The sequence below is a fragment of the Homo sapiens genome, chromosome 5, assembly GCF_000001405.40.
Source record: "Homo sapiens chromosome 5, GRCh38.p14 Primary Assembly".
Lineage (NCBI taxonomy): Eukaryota > Metazoa > Chordata > Mammalia > Primates > Hominidae > Homo > Homo sapiens.
Window position 1 is genome coordinate 169,557,210 of NC_000005.10, and position 16,886 is coordinate 169,574,095.

A 16,886-nucleotide genomic window follows, 5' to 3' on the forward strand; every position below is an offset into this window, starting at 1 on the left:
GCAATAGAAAGCTAATATGCTTGCATTTTTTAAGTATTTATATTATTTGGTTAAATGTTTAGAGAAGCTCTCTATTATAAAAGATTGGCAGAGTTGTTGGCAAGCTAATTAGCATAGAATGTGTTTCTGAGTGAGAACAAATTTTATAAATGGGCAGCTTATTAACAAATATTTTATTGGATATTTTAATTCTCTATGATTTTTGCTTCCTTAAATAACCCTGTAACTATAACTCAAGGGACATGAAAACAAAGACTCTTTCCCCACCTTTAAGATAGAATCCCTACCCTTAAAATTTTTTGATTTACACTTTCAACAATGACAAAATAGTGTGTTTAAGATAATCTCTGTGCCTACTCTTTCTTCTTTCCCCTCACTTTCACAGGTTTTTATCCCAAGGGAACCCTTTAATACACATCCTATACAACACACTGTCTCAGAGTCCTCAGAGCTGGCATCCCAGGAAACCCAAACTGCAAACCCAAACTTCTACAATGAATTCATGTGCAACTTATTCTAAAAGATCTATACACACACACACACACACACACACACACACACACACACACACTTCCTGTCCTATTGCTCTTCACTACTTCCTTCATCTCTGTGCTACAATCTGGGTTCATTTTTCTTCCCCTTGAGTAATTTATTATGTTTTTTACAGTGAGTCTGTTGCTCAAAAATTCTTTTAGTATTTATTTGTATAAAAAGTCTTAATTTTGTCTTCATATAAAATTTTGTTTGACACTCTATTATAAATTGACTGTTATTCTCTTTCCATGTTTTCCGGACATAGTTCCATTGTCTTCTGACTTCCATCATTTATGTTTAGAAGTCAGTGTTGTTTTTAGTTTCTTTGTGAGTAATTTGTCTTTTTTTGTCTACTTTTTTTTTATTTTGCAATAGTTTAAAAGTATAAAAAATTTGTACACAAACACAACAAACTAAGCAATATACATATGTCCTAGTTTTATAAATGAATAATAATTTATTGTAAATTTAAGTCAGTCTTAAAATCTCTCAACCATTCTATTTTCTCTTTTCTCTTTTTATATCTTTCTTAGATTAAATATTTTTATTATTAAATTTTCTTTCTCTATTGTCTCATTAGTCATACATTCTTACCTTAAAGTGGTTTTCCTGGAAATCACAATATTCATTCTTTATGTATCCAAGTCTAATATAAATGAGTATCTTGGCCACTTCCCAAGAAACTCAAAGATGTGCAAGCATTTTAACTCTATTTACCTTTCTCCTGCCTTTTTACTTTCATGTTACTGTCTGTGTTCAGATATATATTCCATTAGAGAAATTTGTCCATTTTCCTATTGAGTTGCCTCTTCTCCTTATTGATTTGCAGCAACTTTTTTTCATCTTTAATATAATGGATATTAGTCCTTTATCAGTTTTATGTATTGCAAATATTTTCTCCCAACCTATGCTTTTCTTGTTTTAATGGCTTTATTGAGGTATAATTGACATATAATAAATTATATATATTTATGTGCACAAGTATGTATACATAATGTGTACAATTTTATGAGTTTTGACATATCTATACACTCATGAAACCATCACCACAATCAAGATGCTGAACACATGCATTATCCCCTCAAGAGTTTCTTCATGTTCCTGTGTAATCCATCCCCCATCGCCCTGCCTCCTCTCCATCCCCATTCACAGGCACCCACTGGTATGCTTTCTGTTGCCATAGATGATATTGCATTTTCTAGAATCTTATATGAAAGGAATAATACAATATGGACTCATTTTTACCTAACTTTTTCACTCAGCATAACTATTTTGAGGCTTATCCATGCATGCTGTTGCCTCATCCCTGCTTATTGTATTGCAGACTAGAAACTCATTGCATGAACATGATAAAAATTGTTTCTTCATTCACATGTTGATGGACATTTGGGTTGCTAACATTGGATATCATACCCTTTTTAACTTTAGTGGGTGTGAAGTGATATCTCACTGTAGTTTACATTTCCCTGATGACTAATGTTACTAGGCACTTTTTTGTGTACTTACTAGCCAAAGTGTTTACACCTTTTGCCCATTTTTTAATTCTCAATATTCTCAATATAAGTCCTTTGCCATATAGATACATAGATAATATTTTTCCCAGTCTGTGACTTGTCTTTCAAAGGGTCTCTTTTCTTTTCTTTTTTCTTTGTTGCTTTTCTTTTCTTTTTTTCTCTACATCTCAGCCGCAGCAAATCGTGCTCTGAGAGTTATTGAGTAAATCCCAGAATCCAAGCTCAACTGTTTATGCTATTATTTGAAAAAGAATAATTACTGTTCTGTGTTTCCACCAGTGAATATTTACACAATATCTCCCTGATGTCAAATAAAATACTGTTTAGCACAAAGGGCTTTTATTTCATTGTCATAAAGTTGTTGGCTTTATAATACAAGCATCTCAAAAGTAGTGACGTTGTTAAGCTGGAAGCCTGTGACTGATTTAAAGTTCATAAGTTATCAGCTGTAATTAATAAATTGAGCTCATTCTCCAAAAAACATTTTCAGAGACTATCAAAAAACAAAGACACTCTTAACTTGCAATATTTAATTTGAGGCTGCTACTGCGGCTTTTAGCTAAATTAGGCCTGTGTGAAAGCAATTCACTTCATTACCAGGGTCCTTCAAATTTTCCTCCACAATATCACTGATTTCATACTTGATTCACATAATTGTCCTTCAAAACTTAGGGCATGTCCAAAAAGTCCTTCCAAAAGCCAGCTAAAAGAATTTGCTCTCTGGCATCAATTGCAATAATACTCCTGTAGGGAGGGAATCAGAGGAGAGAGAGACCAAGATGAGAGGGAAGAACATTGTCCTCCAGAAACTGAGTTCTGTAAGGCAGAACAAGATGACACGGGGGGACTTTCAAAAACTCTCACAGTACAAGAATCCACTTCAATGAAAGATACAAATCCATTGGGCAGGACAATAATTGGAAGTGTAATATTAATATTAACTAGCATGCTTTATTCCCCCTTCAGTCTTCCTTAGCTGGTACTCACTGCTCACAGTTTAGGCATCTAAATGTAAAAATGCAAATAATGACAAAAGAATTAATCTCTTGGATTCTAAACCTTAAAAACCAAGGACTAGACAGACCTAAAGAATAAAATTAGTTTCTCCCTCCCAACTTTCACCTCCCCACCCATTGCTGCACTCTGACAAGATCATTCTTGGAGCTGATATTCTCAATTAAAGAAGAGTGAAGATCCATGATGACAGAATGCAGTCAATGATTTCAGATAGGATCCTAGATGAGAAAGAAAACATTCTAAGAAGGGCATTGCTAGGACAAGTGAAAATTGTTGTATATGTATGTATATTGGTAATAGCATTGCATCGATACTAAATCCCCAAATTTGATAAGGTAGAAAAATGCTTTATTCTATGGAGACAAATGATGAAGTATTTCAGGGTGAAATGTCATGATGTAGGTAACTAACTCCATTGATAAAGGGAAAAAAGAGAGAGAGAGGATAGAGAGAAACAAAGCAAATGAGACAAAATCATAACCATTGCTGTATCTATATAAAAGGTATACAAATGTTCATTATATTAGTCTTACAACTTTTGTGAAGGTTGTAAGACTTTTTGAGGTTTTTCAAAGCTAAACACACTTTTTATATGGGAGACAAGAGAATCAGAAAGAAAAACTAAATAGTGAGATGCTTGTCGGGGACTCTCAGCAAAGGAGATAGTGTTTGATAGTGTTTGTTGCAAAAGGAAAAGTACATGCCAGAGTATGTTTGGGAAAACGATGGTAGAGGGAATTTGTACCCCACTTCTCACCTGGATTCTTGGGAGGCAGCAACCTTGCACAGAGGAATAAGGTAAAGAGGGCTGCATGGGATGTTGAGGGCCAAGAGGGCTGAGGGCAGCCAACCACATCACCCAAGGCTTTGCATCATTTCCCAAACTGCAGAGGAATTAGTGAATGGCTGACAGTGGGCTTCTCTCCCTGACGCCATGATGCTACCTGCCATTCCAGGAAGAAGGGTAGAGAGAAAAAAATGCTCAAACTACTGAGTTTAATCTGGAAAGACTGATCTCACCCACAACTGACTAATTTGATTCCACTCCACTAAATTTATTCCACAGAATGGGGGCTCTGGATTGATATGAAGTTCAGTGCTTAAGAAAAAAAAAGGGAGTATTACATTTTTTATATACCCGTGTTTCTGCGGCATGAGAGTCTATACTCACAGCAATATTTTCTAGCAAACACATATTGTTTGGAGAGTAGTAATTTATTCTCTACTTTGAACACTGGTAATTTAATCTGTATTCTCTTCCCAGGGATCCCCTGTGATCAGCATTAATGGACTGGGGCGAGAACAGAGAAGGTGACTTCACATTTATGAATATCAAATAATGAGGGCTCAGCTTTTTGCCTTCCAGCAGTCAAGTTCTTCTTCTGGGAAGTGCCTCTCTGTCGGGGTAACAAACATTTTTAAGTTGACTGATACATTTTAAAAGTAGTATGTAGAAAGGCTTTCTAAAATCAAAATCCAATTTTAGTGATTACATAGTTGTTTCCTTAAGCTCAGGCAAGGCACTTTGTATACTCATAGAATTTTGGAAGAATTTTACAGTTATAATTGTCAGCTTAAATTGTGTTTGAATGTCAGTCCTCTTTTAAAGAAAGAAAAGACAAGAAATATTCCTTCTACTTTGTGTCATTAAGCTGGATTTTTACTTGGCAGCACTCAAGGTGGGGATTTTGCAACATTAAGATAACAATCTCTTCTCTGTAGATTTTTAGTACCCCAGGGATTCAAAGATCAAGTTGCTTAGAGACCCCATGGAATTTGCAGAAAAAGCAAACTCTAATCTTGACATCTGTAATTAATGTTTTTATCTTACTCCTAAAGTTTAGTTTGCTGGCAGCTTAGCTGCTCTTTGGAGCGGAATAAGGCTCTTTCTACACCACGTCCCACATGACTTTCTATCCTGAGAGTGGGGTGGGGAGCTCTGGGGCTCTCTATGGGCTCTTTTCTCTTGGGCTCAGTGTCAAGCTCTTCTTCTAGTTATGTAGTGGTTGCATATATGCCTAGGTTTCCTTCCAATCAATCGTGCTGCAGGTTTCCTAAGCTAGGCTAATGCTTGCCTTGTTTCCAGTGCATTTTATATTGGGCTCACCGACCAATACATATGCATGCGTAGAGCACAGGATCAATTGTAGGTTGTGAAAATATCTGTATAACATATTACTCAGTGAAATGTGAAAATATCTGTATAACATATTACTCAGTGAAATGTGAAAATATCTATAAAATTCTGGTACAATTTAAATATATATCTTTTTCTCAGTAAACAAGACCACTGGCCACTCAGGCAAAAACAAATTAACCTGAGCTGTATATGTACATAAACACACACACATACATGCACATGGGCAAATATGAATTTGTGATTGAGGCATGTGCCAATTCTAATCGCTCCCACATTTTTTTACATAATTATATTGTAACTCTTTGGACTAAGGTGCACAAGTGCTTGTCTGACATACCAATGAAAATGAAGAGAGGTAATCTATCATCCCTCCCACCCTTAAAAGACAACGTAGTCACCTAAGTAGCCAAAGTTGTCACAGAGAATATCATGATCATCTTTTGTGCATTCCACAAACATTTATGGAACTTCTAGTCTGGGGCCTGACATCTTCACTCAGAATGCTACAGCAAGCAAGACAAAGTGGGTCCTGCTACCTCTCAAGTGCTAGAGGGGAGAGAGACAATGAGCAAAGAACAGAATCGATAAAACAATCACCAGATGATGGTAAAAGCCAAGAAGAAACTAAAATAGGTGATGTCATAGAGCGACTGTGGGACTGCATCAGATTGAGAGATCAGGGAATGTGCCAATGAAGGTAACTTATGAGCTGAGACCTGAATCACCAGTGTTTAGGATATAGCTCTATGGTCTAATTTTTCAGGTCATTTTATGATGTGGCTCCTTCATGCACATTTAAATGAAGTGATTAGAATACACACCTGGTGGATAGGGTTCTATATTATACCCTCAGCTACCTCCCACTTCCTTTTTAAGCTTCATTCTAAAATGACATTTTAAAAATGTAAGTGGCAAAGCTAGACCCATTAGCTATAAGTGATATAGAAATCCCAAAAAGATGTTCCAGCAGGGATTGAGCTGGCCTTTTAGACAAAAATAATGAGGTCATTGCTTTGTTGACTGCCATCGACTTGCATATCTCAGCCTCTATCAGTGACCAAAATCATCCAACAAAATGACTCCTTAAGTGCTTATGATGAAGAACAGCTACCAGAACACCCAGGCAAGCATTCTTACACTCATATCTTCTGTGAATCCATCAGCCAGCAGTTCCCATGCTCAGGGTAAGGAGCAGACATATTTCTTGTCAGTAAGTTTATCTATTGAGATGCTGTGGAATGTTCTTATCCATCATCTTGTACATCATATACCATAACTCTTATGGCTTATGACTTGTAGACAACACAAATAGCCACCTGAAGGTGTCCTCATGCAAAATTTTGCTGTTGAGAAAATAACCACTAGTCTTATAACCCTGTGGCAATCCTTTATTCTCCCTAAATACTAATTTTTGCATGTCAAAAAAAGTTAAACAGATGAACTCTAAATTTGAATTTTAGTCTTTTAGATTTCCTAAAAATGATTCAAACAATATTTCCTTGCAAGGGAAGATATAAAACATTTGCTTGAATTCAAGAAAGAGTAATATCTGAGCATTTTGAGCACTGTATCCATTGGGCATATGCATGGCTGCAACTAATGAGAAAGTAAACAGTGGCTTCAACAAATAAGGCTTTATTTTTCTCTCGTAACAAGCAGCCTGGAGGTAGACTTTAGCTGGCTTTTGCTCAGCAGCATCACAATGTTAGGGTCAGCATATCCCTTGCCTATTCCTTGCCTATCCCTTGATCTTTCCCTTATCTTGTCACCTCAAGTTCACAAACTGGCTGCCGCAACTGCAAAAATCATATCCTCATGACTGACTGAAGAGCTGGAAGATTAGTAGAGGCAGGAGGAGTGCCATCCAGGTTTATCTTTCTATATGGGGAAAAAAAAAAGTATTTTATAGAAGCTCCTGCAGCAGCCAACTCCTTTGGTTTCATGTGTCATATGACCAACTCTAGGTCCAAAGTGCCTATGACTTTGCTTCTCCAGCCTGAATTGTGGAAATCCCAGTCTTTTCTATGGTTTTTGGGTCAGCCAAGAAACCATGTCTACCACAATAATTTCTGTATTATATCTTCATATCCCTACACATCTCCTTCATTACACCTCCCAGGATAGTTATCTAGGTAGGGTTTGACTAAAATACGGACATAGAGCCAACATTAAACTATTGAGTAACTGAGATTTTTGAAGGCACTGGCTTATAGGAAATGTTAGCAGGAAAAACCAGTACCAACTGAGTCAAACAGGAAAGACTGCCTCAATGTTTGCCAAAATACATTAAGGCTAGCAGTTGGCTGATTTTCAAAAAATATATTTTCTAATTGTAAAAGAAATATAAGCTTATTTAACAAGAATTTTTGATTGTAGGGAATCATAAAAAGAAAGTGAAAGTCATCTAAAAGTAACTCCCTACATATTTGGTATATTCCCTTCAAAACATTTTTTGTAAGCGTTCTGCACATTTTCTTCCTTTCTCCACTCTGTTCTTTCCGTAACTATGCTAAGTTCTTCTGAAATCTGCTTTCATCTACCGAATATATCCTCGTTCCCTCTGCATATGGTTGCTGTGTTATATCCCATTATGAAGTATCATTGTTAAGAACACAGATCACCCCAGACCATCTGGGTGTCACCCCTAACGTGACCACTTATCAGCTGCATAACTTCTTTGTGGTTCAATTTTGTCATATTTAAGATGAGATAATAATACTATCTATGTACAGGATTGTTGTGCAAATTAAGCTAGTTAATCCTTGTAATGCACTTAGTAGAGTGACAGGCAAATAATAGAGCTCTATAAATGTCAGCCAGTTTTATTGTATGGAAATATGTCAACTAATTTTATTAATCTTGAATTGGTAGATATTCAAATTATCTTAAAATATTTGATTTGATAAATGGCCCATCCATTAATATCCTTGAAAATACATCTTGTCAAATAATGTCCTAAGGATACATTCCCTCAAATATAATTGTTGGGCCAAAGGATATCCACACTTTAAATTTTGACAATTAATTTCAAGCTGCTCTTTAGAAAGCTTGTTCAAAGCCATGTAGGAATTGCCTGTTTTTGGGTAAAGGAAGGTCTATTTTCCCATTCTAGACATTAATTTTTGCCAAACCAGCAGTGAGAATTCTCATTACTCTTTTAATTCACGTTTCTTTAATATGTAAAAAGGTTTAAAATTTTCTAAGTGTTTTTTAATCATTCATATATACATTGAGATGGAGTTTGGTTCTTGTGGCCCAGGCTGGAGTGCAACGGTGTGGTCTCGGCTCACTGCAACTTCCGCCTCCCGGATTCAAGTGATTCTCCTGCCTCAGCCTCCTGAGTAGCTGGGATTACAGGCATGCACCACCACGCCTGGCTAATTTTTTTGTATTTTTAGTAGAGACGGGGTTTCACCATGTTGGCCAGGCTGGTCTCGAACTCCTGACCTCAGGTGATCCACCCGCCTCAACTTCCCAAAGTGCTGGGATTACACACGTGAGCCACTGCACCCAGCCAATCATTCATATTTTTAATGAATCATTTGATTGTGTCCTTAGAGGCTTAATGGATTTTTTGTTGTAGGGGTCAGGTGACTTATATGCCCTTTAAATTAAAGAGTCCAACAGCAAAAGGGAGTCTGACAATATTCCAAACATTTCTTTTTGCATTCTCAATGACTGCTACCAAATTTTTCTCAGTTTGAAAGAAATAGCTGGTTAAGAGGAATTTTCAGCCTTTGTGAGATGTGCATCTGTTTAGAAAAGTCTATGAAAAGGGAATAGTAAAAAGATGTGGGGAAAAAAAACAGAAGAAAGCTATTTTAAATGAGAATGAGTTACTGAGTTATCTATTTGATCATTTTTTATTTTGATTATATTCGACTTATTATTTTGACATGCCCTGAATTGTCAAGGAGAAAAAATGAGACTACTGTTTTGCTAAGTATTCCTGGTATGCATCTTTGTGGGGGTATGAATCACATAAGTCAACTTTTCAACTTTCCTAGGACCACTTGCCTCAGCATCACTCAAAGAGCTTAAATATCCAATTCTGGAATTTAATCCTCCAGACACTAAAGATGAGTCTTTAAAGATATATCCCAGATAGCTCCATCTTGTAAAGGCCCTTTCTAGGAGATTCTTACATGCACAAATTTTGAAAAAAAAACTTTGGAAAATACCCATTTAGTACCTTCAGTTCATTCGATTGTTCATCCATTTGTTCAAAGAGTAATTAAAATAATTACTGAGCACCTACAATGTGCCAGCCACTGTTCTGGAGATGGAACAGTGAATTAAGCCCATGGTCTAATAGGGCTTACATTATAATGAAGGAAGTCAAACAACAACAAAAACATGCATTGTTATGCAAGGTGGTAAGTGCTATTACAAAGACTAAAGCAAAGTAAGAGGAAAGACAGTGATGTGGGGTGGGTACTACTGTAGGTTTATTAATAATCTATGACTTTCATTTGTCTCTTTTTTTGAACAATAAAGTTACTTTAATATCAATCTTAGAGGCATTCCAACTTCTCAGTTCACCTGAGTTTGGGGCTGCCTCTCTTGTCCTCAACATATTCTTGCTTCCTTCCACCTTCACCTATTCCTGGAGACCTCTGGCCCTATGGGGTATTAGCAAGGTATAGACTCAGTGGCCAAAGGGCTAGCCTTCTCCATCAATAGGACCATGAACAAACTAATGTGTGGTAAATAAAGAGCCTAGACAGCAATCAAGCAGTGATAAAATATGAACCAAGGCAATATTTACAGCCTACCTATGCCAATAAATTATCAACTGAAATCTTCAAGAAGCACACAGGCCAAGACATGGTGGAAGGATCCAGCACATTGGACAGCGCCAGTAGCATGGTAAGGTACAGCTGCGGAGGTCCTGCTGGCAGCTGCCAACTAACTTCCTGAGCATTATATTGCTCAATGCTTGGGTTAAATGAAGGTCAAGGGGTGGGAGGTGGAAGAATGAACCCAGAGCTTCAAAAGACCCTGAACCAAATCTGGTTAAACCAAGCACTGCTCAAGGAGGTTTTAGACCCTAAACCTAAAATGCAGCCAGAAACCCATACCAACAGTTACTCCTCTTTCAGAAGTAGCTGCAACAGCAACAGCAATGGAAATAAATATCTGGCAAACAGATTATTTGGCAGTTAGAGTTGAGTATGCAATTTTGGGTATACAAGTAGAGGTCTGCTCAAGTAAGACCAGAGTTTATTCTCCTCCTTCTCCTTCCCTTTCCTCCCCTCCTCCTCCCACTCCCTCTCCTCCTCCTCTTCCTCTTCTACTTCCTTGTTTCTTCTTCTTCCCTTCTTCTTCTCCTCCTCCTACTTCTTCCTTCTTTCTTCTTCTTTCCTCTTTCTTCTTCTCCTCCTCCTACTTCCTCTTCCTTCTCCTTCTTCCTCTTCATCTTCTTCTGCTTTCTTCATCCTCCTCCCTCTCTTCTTCTCCTTTTTTTTTTAAGAGACGGTCTTGCTCTGTGGCCCAGGCTGGAGTACATGGAGTGCAGTGCCACAATCATAGCTCACTGCAGCCTTGAACTCCTGGACCCAAGCAATCCTCCTGCCTCAGCCTCCTAAGTAGCCGGGACTACAGGCATGCACCACCACACCCAGCCAATTAAAAAATTTTCTTTTAAGGAAAGGGGTCTTGCTATGTTGCCCAGGCTGGTCTTGAACCCCTGGGCTCAAGTGATCCTCCCACCTAAGCCTCCCAAGTAGCTGGGATTATAGGCTTGAGCCACAGCACCCAGTAGAGTTTCTTAACTGGTATCCATGCACTGGCTAGTCCATAAACCCTATGATATAAGCAAGCCTCTCTCTCTCTCTCTCTCTCTCTCTCTCTCTCTCTCACACACACACACACACACACACACAATCTATAGGTAGATAGAGATCTGTGTGTGCGTGTGTGTGTGTGTGTGTGTGTGTGTAGCAAGGGGGCTGTGTACATGTACATTATTTTTTCTGGGAAGAATTCTTATAGATTTCATCAGATTCTCAAAGGAGACTGTAACCCAGTAAAGCTTAGGAACTATCATCTTAGACCAAGGATCAGTATCCTTTAGAACTTGAGCTGGAATATATAATTCAGCCACAGAAGGCTCTTGGTTAGAATGAATGTCATGGAATACTACTTCCACACAAACCCCAGCTACTGACACTCACCCTCAGGGTTATAAAATGTCTCATGCCTTGTGAGTTCAGTCCTTTGGACAGGAAGCTAAAAGTTTCATGTTCGTTATATATAAAGATCCAGGTTAGGGATTTTAAAAAACACATTACTATGTTAGCTAGCTGTCACTGCACGGTAAACCACTCAAAATTTAGTGGTGTTATTTACTTATGAATTGGTAATGTCAGCAACATGGATTAGGTTCAGCTAGACGATTCTTTTGCCTAGGAATTACAAGGCATGGGTTTAGAATCCCACATTATTTTTGCCACATTCATTAGTCAAGGTGCATTACAAGGCCAACCCAGATTCAAAGTTGTTGAGAAACAGACTACTTCCTCATGGGATGAGCTGCAAAGTCACACTGCAAAGGGGCTGCTCATGGAAGAATCACTGCGGTCATCTTGAAAACAATCTTCCACAGCTACATGCTGAAGAATTCATAGTTAAAATAATGTTATCTGTGATTTGCTTGAAAACATCCCAGAAACAAAAACTGGTGGGAAAATAATTGAAAGAAAAATGGCAAAAAGTGATCATTGTTGAAGCTTGATGATGGGCACATGAGGGTTATTTACATTAGTCTTTTTACTTTTGCATGCATTTGTAATTTTTTAAATTAAAAGGTTAAAATTAAATTAACAAAACACATGCTCTCTATGAATCCTTGTAACAATTATCTTTTCCCCTTTTACATGTGTGGACAGTGAATAGGGGGCAGTCATGTGACTGGTCATTTCTAAGGTCACTCATAGAATAATAGCTAATATTTACTGAAGACATAAAATGCACCAGCGCCTTCCCAACATTGTACATCATATCTCATTTAGTCCTCACGATACTACGCATCAGGTAGTATTATTGTCTCCATTCCTAAGATAAGAAACACCAGAAAGCTGACCAAGTTTACAAAATAAGTAGTGAAAGCCTGATTTGGATCCAAGAAATGTGGCTTCAAAGCCTCCACCCTATGAGGAGCAAAGCTGAGATTAGAATCAAGCTCTGTATGGCTCCAGCAGCAGGACCTCCCACTCCACGGTGCTAGGCTGGGACTTTCAGAGCTGGTGCTTCCCACGTCATTTTCCTTCGCTATACTGCCTGTCTGAATTTCCCTTCCCAAATTTGCACATTGCACATTAATACTGCACACTCAGTAGGGATCTGACTAAGTGGCCCACTTAGGGGCCCACTTAGTGGCTCACTTAGTCAGTAGGGATCTGACTAAGTGGCCCACAGCCCACTTCCCATAGGTGGAACACCTCTATTTTCTTCTACTAAATATATAATATATCTGTAAGTGCTTTATAAACTGTAAGGTAATTTGAAAGGTTCACTTGTTCTACAAATTAAGTAGCATTTTAAATGAACAACTAGTTGAAAAATTATTTTTAAGACTCTCCAAAGAAGTTAAATCTTGTGGTAAAGCTCTCCTTTGGAATTGTCCTTACCAACATCTGCAAGTGCAAGCGCGTTTTCGTTCAGGGTGAGAATTGTAGGTGAGAATCATCATTGTAGGAGGAAAAGCAAGAAGATTCATGAAGTGGGAGTTTGGGCTATCAAAGTTTGTTTCCAGGAATGACCTAAGAAGAACCAACTGGGAGCAGCTTGGGATTTTTCATTTACTCTTCCTTCAGAGTGAAGATACTCTGTGCTACTCCTAAATGCTCTCCTGTCTATGTGTTAGAGCCTCAGCCACTCCAGCCTGAGGCTGTAGCTTGTCACTCCCGACTCTGAGGAAGTAAGAGAGACAATGTACCAAAATACTCAGCAGGAAAATCAGAGTGGAGGGATTTCACTCCCATGTTATACGAAATAGCACTAGGCATTGCCTGAAAGGATCCTTTGTCCAACCCCATCAGCAGCAACACCACATCCCAACTGCAACGGAGAGGTCTATAGATGCAGAGTCGAAGTGTGTGCGTGTGTGTGTGTGTGGGTGTGTGTGTGTGAATGGATTCATGACTTATTTAGAAACATACCAAAACTTAAAAAGAGAACGTTTGCTCTAAGAGTTAGTTACTGATACAAAGCAAAGTGACAGAATATTTTATTGAGATTCAGAATAAAAATCGTTCTTCCGGGGTCCTATGTATCTTTTTGTAAGATAGGCTTGTGTTCCTTCCATAATAAAGGGAAAGTAAGTAAAATGGTGTCTTCCACACGTACAAGACTTGTCAACAGTCTTCTCCCAAGCATCCCAGCTGTCCAGAGGACATTAAAGGACTGAAGACATTAATTGATTGATAACATGGAGCTATGCAGTGCTTTCCAATGCTTCATCTTTCTAAGAAATCAAAATTAAGGAGCATGAGAAAGCAGAATCAGCTAATTACAAAACTTAACATTATATAAAAATATAGAAGGAGAGATAGAGAGAGAGAAAGAAGAGAAAAAAAGAAGAAGAGAGATAGAGAAGCAACCTTCTTACAGACAAGCTCCTTAATCACTCAGGTTTCAAACTCAGTCAATTACAATCACACACACAAAACAGTCAAATATTTAATAAAAACACAGTTGAAACTTGACCTCAAATACTTGTAGGTGCATTGTATGTATCAGGTTTCCCAGAAACAGGAGTCATAAAAACACATTATTTATCAAGAAGTATTTTCTCTCGCCATCCAAGTAAACTCTTGCCCTGGAAACCACACAGCTGTCGCCTTTGGGAAAGAGGTTGGATTGCGGGTGCTAACTTTCCTATCTTTAAGTTCCTTCAAACCAGGCAAAGGTAAATCAAAATTTGAATTCTCTTTAGCTTTCAGAATTTCAGAGAAACCAAAAGTCTATACCAGAATATCAGCCAGATACTATGAAGGGATCATAGTTGAGAGAGTTGGAACTGCTGAGTTTTTAATTTTAAAGTTGGTGCTACTCAGCCTGGAATGCACTCTAGGTCACAGCTCTCAGCACATGCCCCCTTGCAATCACAGCCGCCAGACATTTTTCTCTCACTGTGGGAAACTGTCGAATCGTTTTTCTTTGCGTGTGCATATTTAAGTCACGGGAAATGGTCTTTATATCCCACTCATAGGAATGAATGAGGTGTGAGAACATTTTAATTTCATAAAAATGTTTCATGTCTTTATCAGACTGGATTTGCTTTTGTTTCTTTTGCATAGCTGCTTAAAAATTCCAGTAATTCTAAAAGTGATGTGGATTCATTATGGGAAATGTGTACATACAGATAATAAAAGCAAAGAAGCAGAGGAAGCCATCTAAAGACATGCAAAGACAACTACTGTTAGCATTGCCTGTCGTCTGGAAGCCTTTCTTAAAATATAAATTTTTCATTATTAAGGGTCATCTTCATATTTTCAAGAAAAGTGCCTTTGAAATAATTTAGAATTTCATCACAATTCTGATACTTATAATTATAGAATTATGACATTATAATTTTCACTGTAAATAATGCTTATTGTAATAAACAATAAAGAACAATGAAAACTAAGAAATAAACCTAAACCAGTATCTATGTAATTACAGGCAATTAAGGGTAATTAAAATATAATTGGCCTTGGTTAAAGTCGAAAGAGATATCATTTGGGCCCCAGCTCTGACACTAACCCATAGTGTGATCAAGAATAAATTACTTGACTGGATGCGGTGGCTCATGCCTGTAATCCCAGCACTTTGGGAGAACGAGGCAGGTGGATCACTTGAGGTCAGAAGTTCAAGACCAGCCTGGCCAACATTGTGAAACACTGTCTCTACTTAAAATACAAAAATTAGCCAGGCGTGGCGGCGGGCACCTGCAATCCCAACTACTCAGGAGGCTGAAGCAGGAGAATCTCTTGAACCCAAGAGGCAGAGGTTGCAGTGACCCAAGATCATACCACTGCACTCCAGCCTGGGTGGCAGAGCAAGACTCTGTCTCAAAAAAAAAAAAAAAAAGAATAAATCACTTTACCTCTATTAAGTTCAGTTTTATCTGCAGAATGAAGTGGCCAGATTTTATTCCTAAGGTCCCTTCTAGCGTTAAAGTTGTCTGATATCAGTTGAAGCAGAGTCAACAGTTAAGCACCTCTTTGCTATATTTTACCTGTATAGGCAATCACTTCTAAATATTCAAATTACTAATTTTATTTTTCCTTCTAGATGAGCTTATCCAGATGATACTTTAATTCTTCATCAGTAAGAACACAAAGAAGTAAACCAACTTAAGAGTTATTATGTTAGTCATAAATTTATTCATATGCTAAGCAGACTAAATTGAAATATGACAAAAATGACTTTTAGAGCTACCACACAAATTTTTCCTCAAGCAGAGTATCAGATAGTCTATTGCAATATTAAGAACTTCATTTGTATAAAGGAGAAGAATCCTATAATCAGATTGGAGGACATTGGAGTGATAATATAATTGAATCTTGCCTCATGGCATGGATGGCAAATTCAAATGCATACAGGAATCATACACACAGGTAATATAAATGTCTTCTTATATCTGGCCCTTTTGAGAAAAGCCGATGATAAAGTGACAGGCCTTGGTGAACTGGAAAAAGCATACCCAGTATAAGATCCAAGGAACTGGTGGATTGTTGACATGAGGAGTATGGACACAAAATAGCCAAATCTGATTTTTCAAAATACACTGGAAATCCACATTGTGTGTGTGTGTATGTGTGTGTGTGTGTGTGTGTGTGTGTGTGTGTGTGTGTGTAAATTCCCAAGTTTCCAGCTTTAAATCAAATATTTTTTTTTTCTTCTGCACTGTGTGTGGGCCAAACAGCACAATGGTGGGCCACTAATTTGCAAACCTACAACTTATACTGAAAAACTGACTTCTTCCATTTTCTGGAAGAAGAGAGACAGAGAAGCAACCTTCTTACAGACAACCTCCTTAATCACATAGACATGCAACTGAAACACCAAACAGTGGAAGACCAAACCAATCATCTGTGGAGGGGAAGAGTAAACCTATATTGTAATAAAACAACCACAACATTTATGCCTAAGGAGATAAATTTTGAATATATTTTCTCCAAATAGCTAGTGATGATTGGATTGTTTTACCCACAGGCAAATAAACTTGCAATTCTTTGCTTTTCAGAGTTGACATCCTACAAATACAAACTAACCATTTTTAAATGAACTTGGTAAAAAGCCTTATTATCAATGTATGTAATTTCCTTTAATTAAGGTTGGGCAATAAAATTATCCCAAAGCCTCTGACCAAGTCCCCATCCTCGTCCAGCCACAGTGAGAAAGGAGGAACAATGCTAACAAAGATATTCCACTGCTGTGCTAATGCATCCAACACTAGCACACTTTTCCCTCCTTCTTGTTCCTATAAAAACATCTGTGCAAAGTGGGCCCAGCTGGCTTGCAAATATGTTCCAAGATGCAGACCAGTTTCCAGCCCCTTTGTATCACCCTTTGTCTTGTCTCCTTTCTGCCAGTGCGCATTTCTCTCTTAAGTAGCTAATGCTTAGTGAAAAAAATCAATGTTAACAGGTTAAAAGTTAATGTGCTTCACCTGTTTCACCTCCGTCCATTAG

General features: G+C 37.8%; 2 long non-coding RNA genes across 6 annotated transcripts in view; one reads left to right on the forward strand and one right to left on the reverse strand.

The window, feature by feature from the left end:
- Window positions 1-4,513, forward strand: part of LOC105377715 (uncharacterized) — a 101,339-nt gene extending 96,826 nt beyond the window's left edge. For both annotated transcript variants that reach the window (XR_941204.3, XR_941205.3), the window contains one exon: window positions 4,330-4,513. This is a non-coding gene — a long non-coding RNA (uncharacterized LOC105377715). The remainder of the gene's footprint in view (window positions 1-4,329) is intronic.
- Window positions 1-16,886, reverse strand: part of LOC105377714 (uncharacterized) — a 126,055-nt gene that overhangs the window by 99,603 nt on the left and 9,566 nt on the right. For 3 of the 4 annotated variants that reach the window (XR_941199.3, XR_941198.3, XR_941202.3), the window contains one exon: window positions 13,419-13,672. The exons of the other annotated variant lie outside the window; for it this stretch is intronic. This is a non-coding gene — a long non-coding RNA (uncharacterized LOC105377714). Of the gene's footprint in view, window positions 1-13,418; window positions 13,673-16,886 lie in introns of those variants that run through there. 4 annotated transcript variants of the gene reach the window in all.